At 39.7% G+C, this 24,337-nt stretch overlaps 1 protein-coding gene across 4 annotated transcripts in view; it reads right to left on the bottom strand.

Annotated features, from left to right (window-relative positions):
• Positions 1–8,849: 8,849 nt before the first annotated feature.
• Positions 8,850–24,337, bottom strand: part of CLPX (caseinolytic mitochondrial matrix peptidase chaperone subunit X) — a 37,124-nt gene continuing 21,636 nt past the window's right edge. The window contains exons 6-14 of one of the 4 annotated variants that reach the window (NR_133680.2): positions 23,235–23,276; positions 19,318–19,382; positions 18,377–18,541; positions 17,409–17,563; positions 16,323–16,487; positions 15,413–15,712; positions 14,178–14,270; positions 13,061–13,167; positions 8,850–11,544 (exon numbers count right to left, since the gene is read on the bottom strand). Coding sequence is in view for 2 of the 4 variants with exons in the window: in NM_006660.5 (NP_006651.2) it covers positions 11,454–11,544; positions 13,061–13,167; positions 14,178–14,270; positions 15,413–15,712; positions 16,323–16,487; positions 17,475–17,563; positions 18,377–18,541; positions 19,206–19,382; positions 23,235–23,276 (1,229 nt within the window). In the remaining 2 variants the exon portion in view is untranslated. Of the gene's footprint in view, positions 11,545–13,060; positions 13,168–14,177; positions 14,271–15,412; positions 15,713–16,322; positions 16,488–17,408; positions 17,564–18,376; positions 18,542–19,205; positions 19,383–23,234; positions 23,277–24,337 lie in introns of those variants that run through there. The other 3 variants (NM_006660.5, XM_011521164.4, XR_931743.4) reach the window with 3 other exon arrangements.

Genomic DNA, 24,337 nt, shown 5'->3' on the forward strand with positions numbered 1-24,337 from the left:
AGCCCTCTTCAGCACACAGCACAAGCACCATTCTATAAAATCCCCAGCAAGCCTTTGTCTCCTCACAGTTAGCTCCTCTCTTGCTAACCAGCCCCTTGCACTCTTGCAATGTATTTTCATACTTTCTTTCATAAATCTGCCTTTCTTTACCTACAACTGTCTTGGTAAATTCTTCTTACTGCCCACACTGATACTGGCCTCAGATAGTCACTGCTCACCTGCAACGGTTTATAAAATCAATAGGAGGCAAAATAAAATCTAAGTAGGCTTATAGCACAATCAACAACAATCATTAAGTCGGCTTGCCTTCTGTCCCAGTTCCTTGTAGTTGGTCACTACTCTTACTACCCAAGGATAACTAGCTCTTGTCCTCACAAAAGTCTTTTTTATTTTCCTGTTCTATAGATAAAATCTAAGACATTGTTAGATATATTTTTCCATTGAGCATCTCCTTTAGATTCTATATACCAACAAAATTACCATGCCAGCTAGTCCGAAGGACCCAGCAAAAAGCTGACTAATGAAAGAAAAATTTCCACATCCTGATTTTAACCCCTGTATTAGTTCATTTTCTTTTTTCTTTTTTTTTTTTTGAGATGGAATTTCACTCTCGTTGCCCAGGCTGGAGTGCAATGGTGTAGTCTTGGCTCACTGCAACTTCTGCCTCCCAGGTTCAAGCAATTCTCCTGCCTCAGCCTCCCAAGTAGCTGGGATTACATGCGCCCGCCAACCATGTGCGACTAATTTTTCTATTTTTAGTAAAGATGGGGTTTCACCATGTTGGCCAGGCTGGTTGCAAACTCCTGACCTCAGGTGATCACCCACCTCGGCCTCCCAAAGTGCTGGGATTACAGGCACGAACCACTGCCCCTGGCCTATTAGTTCATTTTCACACTGCTATAAAGAACTACTGGAGACTGGGTAACTTATAAAGAGGTTTAATTGACTCACAGTTCTGCATGACTGGGGAGGCCTCAGGAAACTTATAATCATGGCAGAAGGCAAAAGAGAAGCAAGCACCTTCTTCACAAGGTGGCAGGAGAGAGGGTGAGCAAGGAGGGGAACTGCCAAACACTTTTAAACCACCAAATCTCGTGAGAATTCACTCTCAGAACAGCATGCAGGAAACTGCCCCCATGATCCAATCACCTCTTACCAGGTTCCTCTCTTGACATGTGGGGTCTTATAATTCAAGATGAGATTTGGATGGAGACAGAGCAAAACCATATCATCCACTTTACCCAACCAATCGATGACCCCAAATTTTCTAGTCCCTCACCCTCCACAACCCCCTTAAAAATCCTTGCCCAGAACCCTATGAGGAAACAGATTTCAAGCTTGAGAATTCCTCCTGCTTCCTTGTTTGGCATCTTGAGATTATTAAACTCTTCACTACATGAGCAAAGTTGTGTGTTGCAAATTATTTTTAATTTTTAAAAAAGGAAAAAAATTAAACTCTCCAGTACAAACCCAGTTGTCAGTGTATGTCAGATGTCTATTGCTGTGTAGCTGGCATACAAACCTGGCAGTCCTATTACATTATCAAAGTCAGGATATTGACATTGATACAAAACATGTCCATCACTACCAGTATTCCTCATTTGCCCTTTTATAGCCACATTCAGTTCTCTTCCTTAACCCATCTTCTCCTTAGCCATGAATCTATCCTCTACTTTTATAATTTTTATTATTTTATTTTATTTTATTTTATTTTATTTTTGGAGACGGAGCCTTGCTTTGTCACCCAGGTTGGAGTACAGTGGTGTGATCTTGGCTCACTGCAAACTCTGCCTCCTGGGTTCATGCGATTCTCCTGTCTCAGCCTCCTGAGTAGCTGGGATTACAGGCATGCGCCACCACGCCAGGCTAATTTTGTATTTTTAGTAGAGATGGGGTTTTACCGTGTTGATCAGGCTGGTCTCCAAATACTGACCTCAGGTGATCCCCCTGCCTTGGCCTCACAAAATGCTGGGATTACAGGTGTGAGCCACTGCGCCCGGCCCCCGCCTTAGCTTCTAGGGTAGGTAGGACTGCAGGCAGACACCACCATACCCTGCTAATTTTTAAAAATTTTGGTAGAGATGGGGGTCTTGCCCAGGCTGATCTCAAACTCCTGGCCTCAAGCTATTCTCCCACCTTTCCCTCCCAAAGGCCAGGAATATAGGCATGAGCTACTGCACCTGGCCAGGGTTTTTCTTTTGGCATAGCAAAAGTTCTTAATTTTGATGAAGTCCAATTTATCAGTTTTCCCTTTCTGGATTGTGCTTTTGGTGTCAAGTCCAAGAACTCGATGCTTATCCTTAGATCCTGAAGATTTTCTCCTGTGTTTTTTTCTAAGTTTTGTAGGTCTACTTTTTTTTTCTTTTTTGAGACAGTCTTGCTGTGTCTCCCAGGCTGGAGTGCAGTGGTGCGATCTTGACTCACTGCAACCTTCACCTCCCAGGTTCAAGCGATTCTCCTGCCTCAGCCTCCTGAGTAGCTGGGACTTCAGGCACCTGCCACCACACCTGCCTAATTTTTTTTTTTTTTTTTTTTTTTTTTTGAGACAGAGTCTTGCTCTGTCTCCCAGGCTGGAGTGCAGTGGCACAATCTTGGCTCACTGCAACCTCCGCCTCCTGGGTTCAAGCAATTCTCCTGTCTCAGCCTCCTGAGTAGCTGGGACTACAGGCGCCCTCCACCACGCCCGGCTAATTTTTGTATTTTTAGTAGAGACGGGGTTTCACCATATCGGTCAGGCTGGTCTCGAACTCCTGACCACAGGTGATCCGCCCGCCTCGGCCTCCCAAAGTGCTGGGATTAGGCATGAGCCACCACGCCTGGCCTCTAATTTTTGTATTTTTAGTAGAGGTGGGGTTTCACCATGTTGGCCAGGCTGGTCTGCAACTCCTGACCTCAAATGACCCACCCACCTCGGCCTCCCAAAGTGCTGGGATTACACGTATGAGCCACCGCGCCCGGCCACTTTTGTTTTGAGACAGTTTCGCTCTTGTTGTCCAGGCTGGAGTGCAATGGAGCGATCTCTGCTCACTGCAACCTCTGCCTCCCGGGTTCAAGCGATTCTGTCTCAGCCTCCCGAGTAGCTGGGATTACAGGCACATGCCACCATGCCCGGCTAATTTTTGTATTTTTAGTAGAGATGGGGTTTCATCATATTGGTCAGGCTGGTCTCGAGCTCCCGACCTCAGGTGATCCGCCTGCCTCGGCCTCCCAAAGTGCTGGGATTACAGGCATGAACCACCATGCCCGGCCTTTTTAAGACTGGGTCTGGCTCTGTCGCCCAGGCGCCATCTTGGCTTACTGCAGCCTCTGCCTCCCTGACTCAAGAGATTCTCAGGCCTCAGCCTCCCGAGTAGAGTAACTGGGATTACAGGCGTGCACCATCACACCTGGCTAATTTTTGTATTTTTTAGTAGAGACGGGGTTTCACCATGTTGGTCAGGCAGGTCTCGAACTCCTGGCCTCAAGTGATCCACCTGCCTCGGCCTCCCAATGTGCTAGGATTACAGGCACATGCCACCGCACCAGGCCATTTGTAGGTTTACATTGAAGTCTGTCATCCTTTTTTTTTTTTTTTTTTTTTTTTTAAATAAGAGGCCAGGTCTCACTATGTTGCCCAGGCTGGACTTGAATTCCTGGGCTCAAGGGACCTTCTTGCTTCAGCCTCTGAAGCAGGCAGGACTACAGGCATTTGACACCATGCCTGGCTTACGATCCATCTTCAGTTAGGCTCTTTTTTCTTATGGATGTCTAATTGCTGCAACATCACACTTAGATCTTCACTTTTCTGAGCACTGTTACTCTGAGCAAAGTAATTAGATGATGGACATGCCCCATTTCATATTTTTGTCATTTATTAAGCACTTTCTATGACAAGGAGCTGAAGACGGCAAGGTGAGTTGTTTCCTTATCTTCAAGGAGGATGACCTCTTGGGTCATACCAAGAAGAACCAGAGAGCCTGGCCCCACTCCCCAAGGGACCGATCAAACTTCTCAGAAACTTACTGTGATTCTACGTAATATTTATTTATTTATTTATTTACTTATTTATTTTTTTGAGACAGAGTTTCACTCTTGTTGCCCAGGCTGGAATGCAATGGCACAATCTTGGCTTACCGCAGCCTCTGCCTCCTGGGTTCAAGCGATTCTCCTGCCTCAGCCTCCTGAGTAGCTGGGATTACAGGCATGCGCCACCATGCCTGGATAATTTTGTATTTTTAGTAGAGACGGGGTTTCTCCATGTTGGTCAGGCTGGTCTGGAATTCCCGACCTCAAGTGATGCGCCCACCTAGGCCTCCCAAAGTGCTGGGATTACAGGCGTGAGCCGCCACGCCTGGCTCTACATAATATTTAAAGGCTTTTTGTTTGTTTGTGTTTTGTTGAGACGGAGTCTCGCTCTGTTGCCCAGGCTGGAGTGTAATGGTGCGATCTCGGCTCACTGCAACCTCCGCCTCCCGGGTTCCAGCCATTCTTCTGCCTCCGCGCCGCCACGCCCGGCTAATTTTTTTTGTATTTTTAGTAGAGATGGGGTTTCACTATGTTGGCCAGGATGGTCTTGATCTCCTGACCTTGTGATCCACCCGCCTTGGCCTCCCAAAGTGCTGGGATTACAGGCGTGAGCCACCGTGCCCAGCCAAAGGCTTTAATTTTTATCTTAAAAAAATTTTTTTTTTAAGACAGAGTCTTGGCTTATCGCCCAGGCTGGAGTGCAGTGCTGTGATCTAGGCTCACTGCAACCTTCACCTCCCGGGTTCAAGCAATTCTCCTGCCTCAGGAGAATATATAGGGTCTCACTCTGTCACCCAGGCTGGAGTGCAGTGGCACGATCACGACCTCCCTGCGCTCAGGTGATTCTGTCACCTCAGCTTTCCGTGTAGCTGGGAATACAGGTGTGAGCGAGCCACCACACCTGGCTAATTTTTATTTTTTATAGAGATGGTGTTTTGCCATATTGCCCAGGCTGAACTGGAACTCGTGGGCTCAATCAATCCACCTGCCTCAGCCTCCCAAAGTGCTGGGGTTACAGGCATGAGCCACTGCACCTGGCCCATTCTTTTCTATTTGTCCATTGATGCACTGGTACAAACTTAAATTTTTAAAGCTCTAAAAATACACACACACGGCCGGACGCGATGGCTCATGCCTGTAATCCCAGCCCTTTGGGAGGCTGAGGCGGGTGGATCACCTGAGGTCAGGAGTTCGAAACCAGTCTGACCAACATGGAGAAACCCCGTCTCTACTAAAAAAAATTAGCTGAGTGTGCCCACGCCTGTAATCCCAGCTACTCGGAAGGCTGAGGCAGGAGAATCACTTGAACCCGGGAGGCGGAGGTTGCAGTGAGCTGAGATCGGGTCATTGCACTCCAGCCTGGGCAACAAGAGCGAAACTCCGTCTCAAACAACAACAACAACAACAACAAAAACAAAAACACACACACATTTTGAGACAGGGTCTAGCCCTGTTGCCCAAGCTGGAGTGCAGTGGTATGATCCAGCTCACTGTGGCCTTCTGGGCTCAAGGGGTCCTCCCACCTCAGCCTCCCAAGTAGCTGGGACTACAGGTGCATGCCACCATGCCCAGCTAATTTTTTAAATTTTTTGTAGAGACAGGATCTCACCATGTTGCCCAGGCTGGTCTCAAACTCTTGGGCTCAAGCAGTCCTCCTGCCTCGGCCTCCCAAATTGCTGGGATTACAGGCGCGAGTCACCACACCTAGTTATAAAGCTTTGTATTTTAAATATAGCTAGTAGAGGAGGCAACGAGAGGGATAGCATTAGGACAAATACCTAATGCATGCAGGGCTTAAAACCTAGATGATGGGTGCAGCAAACCACCATGGCACATGTATACCTATGTAACCTCCACGTTCTGCATATGTATCCCGGTATAAATAAAATAAAATAAAATAAATTTAAAAAAAAGGTAGTAGAGGCAGTCCCTCCTCTTTCTTGTTACATGTAGGATTCTGGAACCGGTCTACCTGGGGTTAAATCCTGGCTCTGTTACTTTGTGTGAGCTTGGGGAAGCTACTTAACCCCTCTGGGCTTCAGTTTCTTTATGAGAAGACTTGATTGTAGTATCCACCTCGGAGTTGTTACATTAAGCACTATGTAAGTGTACTTTTTCACTTTGCTTGTTCACCATTCTTCCATATGAACTTGAGAATCAGCTTGCCTGACTTCAATGTAAAATTTTGGCGTCTTATATATATTATTTATAAAATAATTTATAATTTTATTATTTGTAATTTATAAAAAGTATATATTACTTGCCGGGCATGGTGGCTCACGCCTGTAATCCCAACACTTTGGGAGGCCGAGGCGGGTGGATCACAAGGTCAGGAGATCGAGACCATCCTGGCTAACACGGTGAAACCCGGTCTCTACTAAAAATACAAAAAAAAAAAAAAAATTATACGGGCGTGGTGGCGGGCGTCTGTAGTCCCAGCTACTCAGGAGGCTGAGGCAGGAGAATGGCGTGAACCTGGGAGGTGGAGCTTGCAGTGAGCTGAGATCGCGCCACTGCACTCCAGCCTGGGCAACAGAGCAAGACTCCGTCTCAAAAAAAAAAAAAATATATAAATATATATATAAAATATATATATAAATATATATATAAATATATATATAAATATATATATAAATATATATATAAATATATATATAAATATATATATAAATATATATATAAATATATATATAAATATATATATAAATATATATATAAATATATATATAAATATATATATAAATATATATATAAAACATAAAATATTGGCATTTTATTGGACTATTAAATTTATAAATTTAAGGATAATAGACATTTTTATAATAACGAGTTTCCCCACTGAACACAGGATAACACTTTTAATCAGATTTGCAAAAATACCTACCCATTCACTTCTTCCACTTCCACTACTTTAGCCCAAGCCATCATCTTTTCCTTGTCCTCTTAGTCTGTTCTCTCACACTGTAACCAAGTATCACTTCTTTGTGCAAAACCTCCTGACAGCTTCTCATTTATGAGTCAAAGCCTGGAGCCAGGTACGGTGGCTCATGCCTGTAATCCCAACACTTTGGGAGGCCAATGTGGGAGGATGGCTTGAGCCCAGGAGTTCAAGGATGTTGTGATCCATGATAGTGCCAACTGCACTCCAGCCTGGGCGAGTGAGACCGCACCCTCCCCGCTCCCATCTCTTAAAAAGAAGAGTCAAATCTCAGAAGGGAATTGGAAAAATGCAAGACCAACTTTTAGTTGTGCTGCAGAAGAGAAGCAGCTGGGCAACAGGTGGAGAGGATTTGGGTTCAAGGAAGTTGTTTTGTTTGTATGCTGATGAGAACTAACCTCAAAAAGTGGAGGAAATTGTTGAACTAGGAGATAGAAGGGCAAGTGCTGAAGAAATGTTTTTAAGTAGGCCTCCAGTCACGTTTCCTTCCATTCATTTTCCTGAGCCTGCCCCCAACAATTTAAAAGGGACATCTGATCATGTTCAACTCCCCTGCTAAAACTTTCAATAACCCCCCACTACCTTCTGTAAAAACTTACAATTTAACCTGGCATACAAGACATTCCATTCTTTTTTGTTTTTTTGAAACAGAGTCTCGCTCTTGTCACCCAGGCTGGAGTGCAGTGGCGTGATCTCAACTCACTGCAACCTCCACCTCCCAGACTCAAGTGATCCTCTGTCCTCAGCCTCCTGAGTAGCTAGGATTACAGGTGCCCCCCACCATGCCCGGCTAATTTTTGTACTTTTAGTAGAGATGGGGTTTCATCACGTTTGGCCAGGCTGGTCTCGAACTCCTGACCTCAGGTGATCCACCCGCCTCATCCTCCCAAAGTGCTGGGATTACAGGCATGAGCCACCATGCCTGGCCATTCCATTATTTCTTTAAAAATGTATGGGGTACCAGATGTATGTAGCACTATGGTAGGTGCTGGTTATAGTTAACAAAACAGGCTGGGTCACCATCTTTGTGGAACTTATGGTGTAGTTGGAAAGATACGTAAATAAGCTTGGGAGATTTGCTATAGGACAGGAAATACTAAGCAGTGTTTGGATGCCACTGGGAATAATTCAGAAGGAAGGACACAGATACTATAGTAGAGACATGATCAAAAGAATTAAAGGCCTTGAGAAATGAGAGGGGATGATGAGACCCAGAGCATGTGGGGAGTGACTGAGTTTTGTAGGAGGGATACTTCAGTTGTAACTAGAGAGAAAGGTTGAGTGATGGAGTAGATAGATTTATAGATGGTGGGATGATGAATTCCATCAATGGTTTTTCAATGAAATGTGAAGCAAGATCCTTAGCTAGATGGAGAGGAGAATATTAAATGGTCATTTCAGAGTATTAACAAGAAGTTACAGTTGTTGCTTATTTCTTACCTCCTACAGCTTCCTAGTTGTTGTTTTACACTTCTGAGATTTTGATTTAGTTCTCATTATTCTTTTCTGGCAAATTTCTACTTGTTCTTCCAGACTTATCTAGGCCATCACTTTCTATGTCACCACACCTGGTACCTATCTCACTTCCACTATTAAAATACACTTTAGTTTGTATTTGTTTCCCCTACAAGACTAGTAAGATTCCTGAAAAACTTGGCCTGTGTCCCTAGTGTCAAGCGGGACATTTAAGTAAGGATTTTTGATAAATGTTTAACAGACATTGTCTGTGGAATCTACAGCTAGAATTTATCTGATATGGAAGTGCCAAGGATTAATCAATCCCTAGAATGAAGCAGCTCATATGACATCTGTGCCCTTTTAAAAATGGCACTGTTTGGCTGTGCTTGTTGTTGTCAATGCAGAGTGCTCCTGCACCATTGCTGTATGGACACACCACCACGTTGGCTTTCATTTAGTCTTTTTGTTTTATTCAAATGTCAAAATGTAAGTTCCAAGATACAAATTATGTTTGATTTAAAAACATCGACTATGCTTTGTTAACAACTTCCAAAGCCAAATGTAAGTTGTTGTGACTAAAATGCCTCCCCAGTACATTTCTGGAGGATTAACCTTAATATGTTTAGCAGCTAGTCTGATTTCCACTCTACAAAAAGGAAAATGATGCTATAAGGGAAAGATAATGAACAAAGTTATAATATGTAAGACTTCCTGGGAAGAACTTGAACCATTACTAGGGAGACCAAGGAGAGGTGTTTCTGTTCCATACTATAGCAACCAGCCTTAACACTCTGTAATACAAAGTGCATTTCTGGTCCTACCCAGCCATAAATACCATACATCCCTTTTATTAATTATATCAAAGAAAGCCCAACTCTTCATCAACAAGATTTAGAATTTCCTAATAGCTTTAGTTTTTCCCTAAAAAAAACTGTGTAAAAGGAAAGCTCGAGTCTATAAACCAAAAAAAAAAACCCACAAATATTTACATGTACTCTGATTTAAACAATTTCAAATGAGATTAAACTGAATGAATATAGAACTTGTACCACCATTATAGAAGGAAAGAAAAAAAGCTTAAAAGGTACCCAAATATTTTAATATTTATGGAATTAAATGATACAATTTTCATTAAGACCCCAAATATCCCACCACTTTTTAGCTTTGCTGTATAATGAAGGTTAGTAACTTATATGTTAGTGTGAACACATTTACTTTGGCTGATAGCAAAACATAGATTTTTTAAAATGTTCTAAGAAGCCAAAGAATTAGACCAAAATGTTCAGCACCAAAAAACAAAACAAAAAAACTAGCTCAATACTTCAGGTTAAATACACAATATCAAGAAATTTTATTTAGGTCAGCACATGGCTGTTACTATGACTGATACTGCATGCTATTTCTAGAATTAGATATGTATCTTTCTGGCTGGATGCGGTGGCTCATGCCCGTAATTCTAGCACTTTCAGAGGCCAAGGTGGCCGATTGCCTGAGCTCAGGAGAGACCAGCCTGGGCAACATGGCGAAACCCCGTCTCTACTAAAAATACAAAAAATTAGCCAGGTGTGGTGGTGCACGCCTGTAGTCCCAGCTACTCAGGAGGCTGAGGCATGAGTATCGCTTGAACCTGGGACTCAGAGGTTGCAGTGAGCCAAGATTGTGGCACTGTACTCCAGCCTGGGTGACACAGCGAGACTCTGTCTCAAAAAAATAAAATAAAATAGATATATAACTTTCTGAAGATTTAAGCCAGACTTCAATTCCATGTACTCACCCATAGTACTAAAATGGATTAAAGATGGTAAATAAGGCCGGGTGTGGTGGCTTACGCCTGCAATCCCAGCACTTTGGGAGGCTGAGGCCAGCAGATCACAAGGTCAGGAGTTACAGACTAGCCTGGCCAACAGGGTGAAACCCTGTCTCTACTAAAAATACAAAAATTAGCCAGGTGTGGTGGTGCGTGCCTATAATCCCAGCTACTTGGAAGGCTGAGGCAGGAAAATTGCTTGAACCTGGGAGGCGGAGGTTGCAGTGAGCCAAGATCGCACCACTGCACTTCAGCTTGGGACAGCGTGAGACTCCGCTCAATTAAAAAAAAAAAAAAAAAAAAGATGGTAAATAAATCAGACAACTTGGTAAGAAAATGGCCTTTTTTACAGAACCAATTGGGAAGTTAGTGTCATGCATTAGCAGATAAGACTAGGAATACAGCTAAACCAATTATCAAAATATAGTTCTTCAGGGTATTTTTCAATGAAATGTTTAACTACTTGAAAACTACCTGGTCCAATTTTTTGTTTTCGCCCTGAGACGGAGTCTCACTTTGTCGCCCAGGCTGGAGTGCAGTGGCACAACCTCAGCTCACTGTAAACTCTGCCCTCCGAGTTCAAGCGATTCTCCTGCCTCAGCCTCCCGAGTAGCTGGGATTACAGGCACCTGCCACGGCACCCAGCTAATTTTTCATATTTTTAGTAGAGATGGGGTTTCACCATCTTGGCCAGGCTGGTCTTGAACTCCTGACCTCGTGATCCACCCGCCTTGGCCTCCCAAAGTGCTGGGATTACAGGCGTGAGCCACCACGCCCGGCCTACCTGGTCCAATTTTTAAGATGAATAAAATTCCAATATTTTCAGAAACACATGTGGGTAAAAAAGGTAACACTAAAGAATGGTATCTCAATATTCAATTTTAAAGAATTTATTTTCCCATTTGTAGAGTAACATTATTGTAAAATCTACAGTTATCGCAATACCTGCATTGCTTAAAAGAATTCCTAAGAATTTTGTTAAAGCATATTTTTTTTAAAAAACTGAACCAAAATAATGTACATTTTATCTCTAAACATTGTGTCATTAAAGTCCATATAACATCTTCCGTAAAATCAATGTGATGTTACAATTATATACATGATCTGATTCTTCTCCTAAAGGCTTCTCTGACCATGTATGATATCCAAGATAGATCCAATGCCTTTAATATCAGACTGTAGAGACAATTATGATCCTAAACAAAAGAAGGAAAAGCTGTATATACAAGACAGCAATATGACAGTTTAGCTGTTTGCAGCATCTGCTTGGCGGGGCCATCCTTCTTCTTCAACTCCAGAGTCATACTCCTCTTCAGAGGATTCTTTTGTTGGAGCCCTACAATGAAAAGCCATGTTTGTTTTTTTAAAATAAAAAATGGAGGTAAACATGATCTTTAAAATCAAAACAGCAAAGTAACCTCTCCTAGCTAAGAAAGCCACGATAATAGAAAATATTAGGAGCACTTTTAATATTAAGACGGCTTAGGCCGGACACAGTGGCTCACATCTGTAATCCCAGCATTTTGGAAGGCCGAGGAGGGCTGATCACTTGAGGTCAGGAGTTCGAGACCTGCCTGGCCAACATGTTGAAACCCCATCTCTACTAAAAATACAAAAATTAGCCGGGTGTGGTGGCACACACCTGTAGTCCCAGCTACTCAGGAGGCTGAGGCAAGGGAATCGCTTGAACCCAGGAAGTGGAGGTTGCAGTAAGCCGAAATCATACCACTGCACTCCAGTCTGGGCGACAGAGCAAGACTGAGTCTCAAAAAAAAAAAAAAAAAAAAAAGATTGCTTAGTAATATGGGAAACAGACTATACAACCAAGAGTTGCAAATAAACTTCCCAGCATTTTCCCTGACAAATTTATTACTGGGAGAAAAAAAAAAAAAAAAAAAAAAAAGGACAATATGGCTTCAATTGTGAAGGCTTAAAAAATCCTCTTCTCCAAGAAAGTATCATCTGTTATTTCAACTCAAATGCTGGAACTTAGCATATGTATATGGTAAAGAAGCTATTTCTGATCACATCCGTCTTGTCTCGAACTAGTAAAAATGATAATTCAGGTCACCACAATTCCTTTAAAAGCCATACGTCAATGTCATTAAACAATAAAAATAAAAGATTATATCTCTCTGGATAACTAAGGTTGTTCAAAACACATCAACTGCCTCTAAAGTTATCTTGGAACACAAGCAAACATAAAACATAACATACCTTATGATTTGAGTTAAACAGAAACCTAGCTTTTGTGTAGGTAACATTAATGTCAAGCATTGCATAGTAAACATTTATTGAATAAATCAGGGGTTAGGAAACTGTAGCTTGCTAGCCAAATCCAGCCCCATTGCCTTTTTTTATATATTTTTTGAGACTGAGTCTCACTTTGTCGCCCAGGCTGGAGTGCAGTGGTGCGATCTTGGCTCATTGCAACCTCCGCCTCCTAGGTTCAAGTGATTCTCCTGCCTCAGCCTCCCGAGTAGCTGGGACTACAGACGCACACCACCACGCCCAGCTAATTTTTGTATTTTTAGTAGAGACAGAGTTTCACCATGTTGGCCAGGATGGTCTCTATCTCTTGACCTCGTGATCCGCCCACCTCGGCCTCCTGAAGTGCTGGGATTACAGGTGTGAGCCACCACACCCGGCCTGATGATCAACTTTCAAAGACTCACAAAATACTATTATTTTATAATACCCAAATTAGATTTTTCTACAGAAAACTTGAGATTATTGCTTCCCTTAGAAATATAATAATTTTTATGTAATTTTAAAATGACAAACCAATAAACATAGCAATGAGGAGCTCATCTTAAATTTTGTATCTGTTCTGGCTTGAAAATACACTTTACCGGATGTATCCTGGTTCCTTTTTTCCTTCTACTACTTCTTTGTCAACCTCCACACATACGATATCAGAATTAGGGACTTCAAACATTGGTTCTAGTAACAGCTTTTCCTAAAGAAATAAAAAGTAATGAATCACATTGAAAACAGATTACATACAAGTGCTTTTATTCTATAAATCACAAATTGGAATCCATTCACTCAAGGAAAAAGAAACAAACAAAACAAATATATATATATATATAAACATATATATGGGATTATATATATAAACATATATATATATATATTTGGGATTATAGCTGTGATTACAGGCGTAAGCCACCAAATCTGGCCAATTTTTTGTATTTTTAGTAGAGATGGGGTTTCGCCATGTTGTCCAGGCTGGTCTTGAACTCCTGAGCTCAGGCAATCCGCCTGCCTCAGCCTCCCAAAGTGCTAGGATTATGGGCATGAGCCACCATGCCCAGCCTCTTTTTTTTTGTTTGTTTGTTTGTTTGTTTGTTTTGAGAGATGAGGGTGTATGTTGCCCAGGCTGGTCTCAAACTCCTGGGCTCAAGCAATCCTCCTGCCTTGGCCTTCCAAAGTGTTGGGATTTATAGGTGTGAGTTACCAGGCCCGATCCCGATTTTCTGTGTCATTAATCATATTATGTCTATGTCCTTTGTTGCAAACACCTTGAAGTTCCTTTTTGAGAAAAAGCAAAATATAATCTACTGTGACTAAAAAAAAAAAAAAATTCAGGCCAGGCGTGGTGGCTCACGCCTGTAATCCCAGCACTTTGGGAGGCTGAGGCAGGCAGATCACCTGAGGTTAGGAGTTTGAGACCAGACTGGCCAACATGGTGAAACCCCATCTCCACTAAAAATACAAAAATTAGCCAGGTGTGGTGGTTCTTGCCTATAGTTCCAGCTACTTGGGAGGCTAAGGTGGGAAGACTGCTTGAGCCTCAGCCTGGGAGGTGGAGATTGCAGTGAGCCAAGATCGCACCACTGCACTCCTTTATTTGAGACTCTGTCTCAAAATATATATACATATTTTCCAAAAGAAAAACAGGGAAGCTTAATATACTCAAAACTCAGACCAAGAAATAATTGTTTTTATAGAATAATGCCAACTCACCATTATGGACCGAAGGCCTCGTGCACCTGTTTTTCGTTCTAGTGCCAATCTGGCTATAGCTTTCAAAGCATCCTCAGTAACATTCAGTTCACACTACAAATACATTAAAAATAAATTATAACTTTTATTGTTAATTTGTACCACCAGAAAATGTACCATTAAGTGAGGGCACAATTTCTCATGGTGTTTTGGAACCCTGCCTTCAAGAAGCACTTGTTTCTATCAATCCATGACAGTATCAGTATTATGAATTCCAAGTTTGTTCTGAAGCTTGAAGATGTTTTCTAGATTAACACGGACTCCCTAGGATTTTTTTCAACATTTACTAAACCTCTGTGTGTTACATACTAGGGATTTAATGATGAATAGACATCATCTTTGCCAAGCAACTTACAGTCTATTGTGTGATGACAGATGACAGATTAGCAAACTAGCATTTATAGTCCAGTGTATGTACATGGAGCTAAGGGAGCAGCAAAGGGGGAGACATCTAAATAAGACTAGGGAACCACCGGAGGATTTTAAGCAAGGGAGTAAAAACATTAGCCTTATCTTTAATCATTCAATAAATATTTAAGAACTTAATATCTATTTGTTGGGCACTGTTCTCAATGATCCATTCCAGAAGTAAAGAGGAAGATAATGATATTTTGGTGATAGTCACAGACAGACATGAGACAGGCAGACCAATTAAGAACTAAATGCATGGGTCAAGGTGAATAATATCAAAGGGGCTTGACTTGAGGCAGTGGCAACGGAGAAGAAGAGACTGATATTTAGAGACACAAAGTTCACAAAACCCAAACCATTTGTTATCCAATTGGGTATGTGGGCTAGGTGTTTGGCTACAGAGAAGTATATGTGGGATTAATAAAACTCTATTTTGGCAAAATAATATAAAAATATACACAGTATGTCACAACAAAAGCATTTAGAATACCAAGACTGAAAGGACAATCCTGTATGTCTGGCTTGGAGGTGTTGAGGTAAGCTAATGGCATTATTTTTCTTGGGCTTTAGGCTATAATGATGGTTTTAATTCAGAAAAAATAAAGACAACTCCTAAATTCTAACATAATACAATATGCCTTCCTTGATTCCTAGATCCATATTTAGTAAGGAATAGGCTGGTATTCTAGATGAGCAGAATTTGTTTTTGTTGTTAGGTTAATTTATGTAGAATTTCAATAGCAAGAAAATAAAAAATAACTAAGTACAAAAAATAAAAATCTAACCTTATCCATGCTGAATAAGGCCTGGTACTGAGGAATAACAGCATTTCGTGGCTCAGTTAATATTTGTACAAGTGTTTTCTCATCTAGGCTATGCAATGGAACCACCACAGGCAACCGTCCCACAAACTCAGGAATCATGCCAAACTCAATCAGATCTCTGGCTTCCACATGACGCAATAACCGATCTTTTTCTTCAATGTCTTGGTGAGTATTCGATTCCCCACTTCGATTAGCAAGGTCTGCAGCAGCTGCAGCCCTTCTGCCTTTTCCCAGATTAGATGGTGTTCCAAATCCAAGATACTGCCAAAGAAATGATGCATATTTATAATTAGTAGAATCAAATGATAGTGTATTAAGTACTTTTCCTACATATTTCATATGATCTTTGTAACAACTCTATGAAGAAGGTTTTATTATCATTTACATTTTACAAAGGAAAAAAACAGGCTTAGAGAGTTTAATATCTTGACCAAAATCTTATTGCTGTAAGTGGCAAAGCCAGAATTTGAACTCAGGTCTGTCTGCCTTAGAGTTCTTGGCTCACTGCAACCTCCGCCTCCTGGGTTCAAGGGATTCTCCTGCCTCAGCCTCCCGAGTAGCTGGGATTACAGGCACCCACCACTACTCCTGGCTAATTTTTTGTATTTTTAGTAGAGACAGGGTTTCATGTTGGCCAGGCTGGTCTTGAACTCCTGAGCTCAGGCAATCTGCCCACCTTGGCCTCCCAAAGAACTGGGATTATAGGCATTGAGTCACCGCACCCTTCCCTGTATATTTCTGATATGCTCTAAGAAAACCCAACTCTTATAATTAAAACTATGACTGGTAGCCCGCAGATATGAGAATGGAAACTGAGTGTACATCCTTTAAATGCTCTCTATCCTTCTAGTAACCCCTCAGAAAAACTTACCTTTTCATTTTTCCTCCTGCTGATGATTCTGTCTAAACCATTGAAAGCACCAGATGCCACAAACAGGATGTTTGTTGTATCAACTTGAACTGTTTCTCCACGGAGCTTTCGGGAATTCTTTTCTGGAACATTGACTATTGTGCCTTCTAGTAGTTTTAATAAGCCCTAAATAAAGAACAAATGATTTATAGCATCACCATATAAGCACATTATTTATTATACTTTAGACAATAGGATTAAATGGGGAAAACAATATGTGATTATAGTCAATGCACATACCTAATGAAACTCCCACATTCCTATAACTAACAAGAAAATCTAATGCATTTATCACATTAATAATTAATACATTTATTTGAAATGGTTACAGAACTTGATGCATTGTAATTCAGGAAAACAGTCAACCTGAGAGGTTGTTTTTGATAGTAAAGACATAATTCTGACATAAACACAGAATTATGACTGTATAAAATGGTGTTCAAGCACGGTGGGAACATTCAAAATTAGAAAATAGTTGAAGATATGTCTTTCACATAAATTAAAATTCTATTCCACTTACAGTATTAAACTTTGAGACTACCTATATTTGGAGATGCTTTTATAAAAAAAAATTTCCAGCACGTAAGTGTGATTATACCTATGTCTCTGTCAAAAAGTGAAACAATTTTCCTCACCCTTTAATAGTTTATGTCATAATTAGTTATCATTAAAAGGTCAAGTTGGCCAATAGATCATTGTGACTTCAATTATGGCTCTGCAAGGAATTAAACATTATTTTATACCTATCTTCTAAATAAGTGGAAGGAATAAGAAGCATGTACATAGTTCATTCATGTCTAGTTAGAATCATAACTTTCTTCAAAAGTCTTCTAGAAATGTTTAACTGGGCCTTTGAGGAATAAAAAAAAAAGATTAAATTTCATTTTTTCTGTTCTTCAAAATATTTTAAATTTCCTAACAAGGTAATTTGTTATTTCAAATTGTCAACAACTTTCTTTTAGGATCTAAACTACTTCAAAATGATATGTGGAGTTTGGGGGCGGAAGAAATAAAACAGAATCTAATTGAATGTGAAACCAAACGTACAATATTTGGGAGGTTGATGTATTCCCTTCCTTTTAGTGGGCTTGAACAAAATACTCAACTGCTTACTTGCTGAACGCCTTCTCCACCTACATCCCGTAATTGATGAATGCCTGGCACACTGCCAATCTTATCTACTTCATCCAGAAAGACAATTCCTATAATTTAAGGAGGATTCTATTTATAATACGAAAAAGATATACACAAGATAGCCTCAGCTTTAAAATACTTAGGTAGCTAGAGAACAAAGTTATTTGATCTTTCATACTTAACATATCCAATAGCTTGACATTATAAAAATGCACTTTTATTTCTTCCATCCATCATTTTGTACAACTGCTTTGTAATCTGCTCTACGGAGTAACATTTACGTATGGTAACAAAATCTCCTTGACAACAGTGATTTGCCCCACTAATGTATATGAATTCTTTATAGTATGGAAGCAGGAGGTATCTGCAGTGCTAGTATTAACAAAACTTTAGCTTACTCTTTCCCGCCTACATTCTTGTCTTAAAGAAATTTGAACAGGAAGCTGTCATGCTCTTCACGTGAACAAGAACAGATGATAAATGAAGGAGCAACGCAGCATCCATGACATCCTGTAGGTCAACAGGCTAAACTGTTTCTAGAGTCATCTGGTACCCTCCTCCCTTGCCCCTGCCCTGTCCTGTCTTAATCTAAGCATTAGAAGTCTTGAGGGGAGTTAAAACAAGAAAAGCAATGATAGTATTAAGGATCTAATAGGACAGTAATTTGGCTTGTTTTGAATCCTACCAGCCAGCTTAGTGACAATAAGGCAAAGCAAACTATGTGGCCCTTAATCAGTATGCTAGAAATTATGTAACAAAGGTACTTTTATATAATTACAGAATTTTAGTCCTTGACTCAAAACAAGAATTATATTGTCTCTTAATATTAGACTGATTCCCCAATATTCTAAATCTGGGGACAGACCATGCTGAAAACATACCTTGTTGTGCTTTTTCCACATTATAATTGGCATCTTGGAGTAGTTTTGCAATCACAGATTCAATATCTTCGCCTACATATCCAGCCTGAGTCAAAGTTGTACAGTCACAGATAGCAAAAGGGACATCAAGGCATTTAGCTAGGGTTTGTGCCAGCAGAGTTTTACCTACAAATAGAAACAGTCACTAAAAGTTTACTGAAAATATATTGGCACACAATTTTTCAATAAAAATGCAAAATAAATTTTAGTAGTATATAATAAAAAGTTGTCAATTGCTACATCCTTCCTCTGCTATTATTTTTTTTAGAGACAGGTTCTTGCTCTGTCACCCAGGCTGGAGTGCAGCCTGTGATCATGGCTCACTCCAGCCTCAATCTCCTGGGCTTAAGTGATCCTCCTGCCTCAGCCTCAGGACTACAGGCATGTGCTACCACGCCCAACTAATACTTTATTTTTTATAGAGATAGAGTCTTGCTCTGTTGCCTAGGCTGGTCTCAAACTCTTGGCCTCAAGTGATCCTCCCACCTTTGTCTCCCAAAATGCTGGGATTACAGGTGTGAGCCACTACATCCGATCTATTATTATTTAGATATAGCTGTTTTTTATTTTATTATTCCTGTGAAGATGTTAGGGATTGGCCTGAAGGGCAACACCAATGCCTCAAATCCAGTTTGTATTCTATGCAGGAATACTGATAGTGTATCTAGATGACTGGCCTTAGATTTTCTTCTCAAGAGCCGTAATACTTCAATCGCAAGATACAGGTTATAGAATCATTTATATTCTGATTTTTAAAATGAGTAGTAAATTTTCTCAGCAAGTTATTTACCTGACCCAGTTGGTCCAAGCAGCAAAATATTACTTTTTTCAAGTTTTATGTCATCATGAGAAGAATCCAATACTTCACCTCCTCGTTTTTCCTGAGGTATTTGTTGATTTACCTGTTGCTGCATTGATGCTCCTAAAGCATTACCATGTGGGCTAATTCCAGCAATCTGAAGCAATTCTGAAAAAAATGCCAAAGGAATTACTTGAGCTTCATTTGAATTTACTTGAAGAAAATGTCCCATAAAAACTTTTATCTAAAACTAAATATCGACATAGAAAAATTTAAGTATTTTGACATTCTGTCTTACCTACAAAGGAGAAAAATCTCAAATTATCTAGTGACAAACATATAGCACACAATGATTATATAAAGAACCTCAAGCAAAGGAAATTGATTTTTTTTACTGTCCTTATTTATATAAATATGTAAGAATACTCCTTTACCCAAGGGAAGGCAATACAACAGAAGAGCAGAGCCAGGAGTTAGAAAGCTTTAGCTCTGGACCTTCCTTTGTCTCTAAGTAGAAGCTACATGATCTAGGGCAAGTCATATAAACTTTATGTTCCTGTTTCCTAATCAATAAAATCTACTAGAGAAACCAAATATGATACACCTTACTATCTCTGGCCCTATCTAAATCTCTAATTTTATTGGACCTGTACTGGATCTTTCTATTTCCTTTATTAGAGACATAACACTTAACTAGATGTGACTGACATTGCTAATGACTAGATGGGACTGACATTGCTAGTGAGGTTATCAGTTTATCAGCCAGATTCCTACAAAAATAAATCTTTAGGCTAGGCATGGTGGCTCACCTGAGGTCAGGAGTTTGAGAACAGCCTGGCCAACACGGTGAAACCCCATCTCTACTAAAAATAAAAAATTAGCCAGATGTGATGGCACGCGCCTATAGTCCCAGCTACTTGGGAGGCCGAGGCAGGAGAATTGCTTGAACCCGGGAGGCGGGGGTTGCAGTGAGCCAAGATCACGCCACTGCACTCCAGCCTGGGCAACAGAGTAAGACTCTGTCTCAAAAAAATAAAATTAAAATAAAATAAAACAAAACAAAATAAAAATGAAATAAATAAATCTTTATTCTCACTTTCTCTTGGCTGAAGGAAAGATTATCCAGATTTGTAAATATTCAGATTGTTCTTGGTTCTTAGCATTTGAGTACCTGTTATCACAACATACTTGTTTATATTTCCTGAATTTATTTTTACATTTTCTTTTCTTTTTTTTTTTTTTATTTTGAGACAGAGTCTCTCTCTGTTGTCCAGGCTGGAGTGCAGTGGTGCAATCTCAGCTCACTGCAACCTCCGCCTCCTGGGTTCAAGTGATTCTCCTGCCTCAGCATCCCGAGTAGTTGGGATTACAGGCACACGCCACCACACCTGGCTAATTTTTGTATTATTAGTAGAGACGGGGTTTTGCCATGTTGCCCAGGCTGGTCTTGAACTGCTGACTTCAGGTGATCCACCCGCCTCAGCCTCCCCAAGTACTGGGATTACAGGCATGAGACACCGCGCCTGGCCTAAATTTTATTTTCTAAGAAATTGATTCAGAAAATCAGACTTTCCAATGATTATTTTAATTAAACTGATAGAATAATAGTTTGGCAGACATATCTATTATCATAGTCCTATTCCATCTGGCTGTCACTTTCAAACTATCTTCATACTTAAGGTAAAGGGTTATTCTATTCATCAAAAACAATAAGCATTCCATAAACATCTGGATTAAATTGTGCTACCTTTGAGGGTTAATAATTAGTGAATAATTCACAATGTTGTGCCTCATTATAATCCACATCAGCCAAGAAAACTCAGTCTGCTGTATGAGGATAGTTAAATTGTCACTAGCAAAGTACTTTTTAAAATTTCAGCAAAATCTGGTTAGGGATTGTGATAACATAGGAAGGGGCTTGGGTTAAGTTTAGCTCTGCCCAAAGGGAAAAAATGATTTAGATGTAGCTTCAGATCAGCAAGGCCAGCAGGTGCTTGTCATTCACTCATTCTCTCTCTCTCTCTCTCTCTCTCTCTCTCTCACACACACACACACACACACACACACACACACACGATTTAGATGAATAAATGAACAAAATTGCAAGGGGCATATTAATTACAGTGGAACCACATAATCTATGTATTTAACTTATTTAATGATTTAAGTTTAAAAAAGAAATAATTTAAATGATACAGATGATATCCATCATCCCATTTTATGAGTATATGCCTTAGAACAAACTTGAGACAACTCTCCGATTCTTTCAGTTAGTCCCTGTTTGTGCATCTCTCACTGTGTAAGCACAGCTCTCTAAAATGAGGACCATGAGCAAGCAGGCTAGTGTAGTAGTTAGCTGCACAGAGCTCACCAGCTGTGTGGCCACGGACAAATTACTTAAAATTTCTGTGTTTCAGTTTTCTTACTTCTAAAATGGAGATAAAAATAATAGTTTCTGTCTCATGGGTTTAGGGGAGATTAAATGAATATATGCAAAACACTTAGAACAATACCTGGCAGATAGTTTTATAAGTGTTACAGAAGAATCTGGTATTATTATTACCATTTCCCTAGTGTTTAATTATTCACACAACACAGCCCTTAAACGCAAACAAAGTATTTCATCTGGTGCTCAACTTAAAAAACAACATTATATTCCAAAGATGGAGAAAAAAAGCCAATTGTGTCAGTCCTCCTAAAAGCTGTATGTTGGTCTCTAAAATTTGACTTCCAAAGGGACTTATAAGAATTAATCTTATTGTACATGATTTTGGTCTAAAACCCTAGACCAGTGTTAGGGTCTAACACCCCCAGCCAGTGTTAGTTAACAACCTAACTTTAGAACTTAAAATCCCATGTAAAACACAACAAAACTGCACATGACAATAAATTTAAGCTTTTGAAATATTTGTTTCTAAGTCAATCTTTTACATAAGTTCTTAAATACTGTTACTTGTTAACATTTAAATAACATTAAATCACTACATATATTACATGACATGTCTTTCAAAATATGCACTACAGACTTTCTTTACTAATTTAGTATAGGTTAACTAGCTGTCAACACAATTTATGAGTATGGTATTGACTGCATATCTGAATATATTTTTTTATTATGAAATAAATTACATATATACCTAAAGGTTATTATTTAGATTTTACATTCTTATATACAATCTAATTCTATTGCACTTACTGTATTTCTTAATTTTACCACGCATGGTATAATCAGTATTTCTATAAATTTAAAAATAACTGGGGATAATGTAATTTTATTACATGTGATAAATGTCATGCCCAAGTTGGTACACAAGTTATATTCTCATGGCTCATCCTATATATAGTACACTTCAAATAGTGGATATATAATACTACTTGGTTCAAAGGCAAATGTAAAAACATCAAACTTAGCTAATTTTCTTTATTTCAATTACTAAAACAAAAGGCCATGTGAATCTTTCTATGACACCCCTGGAACCTCCACCCTCAATGCAGCAACTAACTATATCCACCTCCAAAGGAATAGGTGGAACACAACAGAAAGGCCACTCTCCTTGGTCTATCAAGTCCTTCCACACCCTCCATCGGACCATCTGATGCTTGTAGGGGCAATCTGGGGCTGGAAACAGTGAATTAAGACTTACTCATAATTTGTAAGACTGTAAGTTTCATAAATACAAAAAAAACCAAAAAACAGTGTGCTTTCTGGCAAAGAGTAGCTAGAAAATAATCTGCCTCCCCCAAATTCCTGTGACCCACAAGAAGCAGGCCAACTCTAATTGTAGTTTGATAGAAAAAATAAAAAATAACCCAACATATGGAAACGACACAAATTAGCTATGAAAAACTATTCCAAAGTTATATATACCATGTAGGATAAACACATTTAGATAATACGTATCTTTCTTGGTAATACACAAGCAAATACATACATGTCTATCACTGTTACTGCTGAAACACTTCACTGAAATAAATGTCAAAAGGAAGAATGATTACAGAGGAGGACCTGAAGTCACTTACTTGTAAATCTGTACTCATCCTCCCGTCTTCTTATTTCTAACTCTAAGAAAGAGGATGAAAATATTACATATTTGTTTACCTTGGGGGAACAAACAATGAGTATCCCACCTCCTGTCCTCTTTCAAATATATTTAAAGGATTTGTTCATTAACATTTTTCAGCTTTTCATATATGCTATATCTTTTCTATATTAAAACAAAACCATGCATAAAGACCGCTGTCCAGTTGCTAATATTCACATTTGTCAAATATATAATTGATATCTATTGTAAGGGTATAATAACATAAGTCTTTAATAAGAGTTTAAGCCCCTCATGCTATAAATATTATAACCATTTGCTCCTCCAGCACTTAGAATAGCTTAAATATCTATTTATTACCGAGGAAAACAAAAAAGTTTTGCTCCATAACTATCAGTGCTATTTGGACCTTATAAAAATGAAGATTTCAGGCCAGGCGCAAGAGTTCACGCCTATTAATCCCAGCACTTTGGGAGGCTGAGGCAGATGGATTGCTTGGGAGACTGAGGTGGGAGGATCACTGGAGCCTGGGAAGTTGAGGCTGCAGTGAGTCGCAATCCAGCCTGGGTGACAGAGAGAGACCTTGTCTTGAAAAAAAGAAAAAGGTTCCAAGTCATCCGTTAGTTATGACTTATACTTTCTAAAAATAACTGATACCATCACATACCTATTTTGCAGTTATGTGATGTAAGTTCAGCAAGTGAACAAGTGTCTTCATTGAAATAAATTATACATTTAGTTGCTACTAAAGGCAATCAAAGATAATGTAGACTTATAAATTTAAGTACTTAGCAGAACTCCTTCACACTGTACAGTGATAACTAAAAGAATCTAAAATGATGGAATATAGGCCTAAATCAGAAATTGGGGCTGTCTGGCCAACAAAACAAAAAATTAAATATTCATATTTACTCTATGCATAATTGTTTTTAATAAATCATTCTATTAATATACATTATTGTCCATAGTAAATTGAGATTATACAGTATACTGTATAATGACTACAGCCATGTGCCACCCCACCTGGCTAATTTTTGTATTTTTAGTAGAGACGGAGTTTCCCATGCTGGCCAGGCAGGTCTC

This window comes from Homo sapiens, chromosome 15 (assembly GCF_000001405.40).
Source record: "Homo sapiens chromosome 15, GRCh38.p14 Primary Assembly".
Classification (NCBI taxonomy): Eukaryota; Metazoa; Chordata; class Mammalia; order Primates; family Hominidae; genus Homo; species Homo sapiens.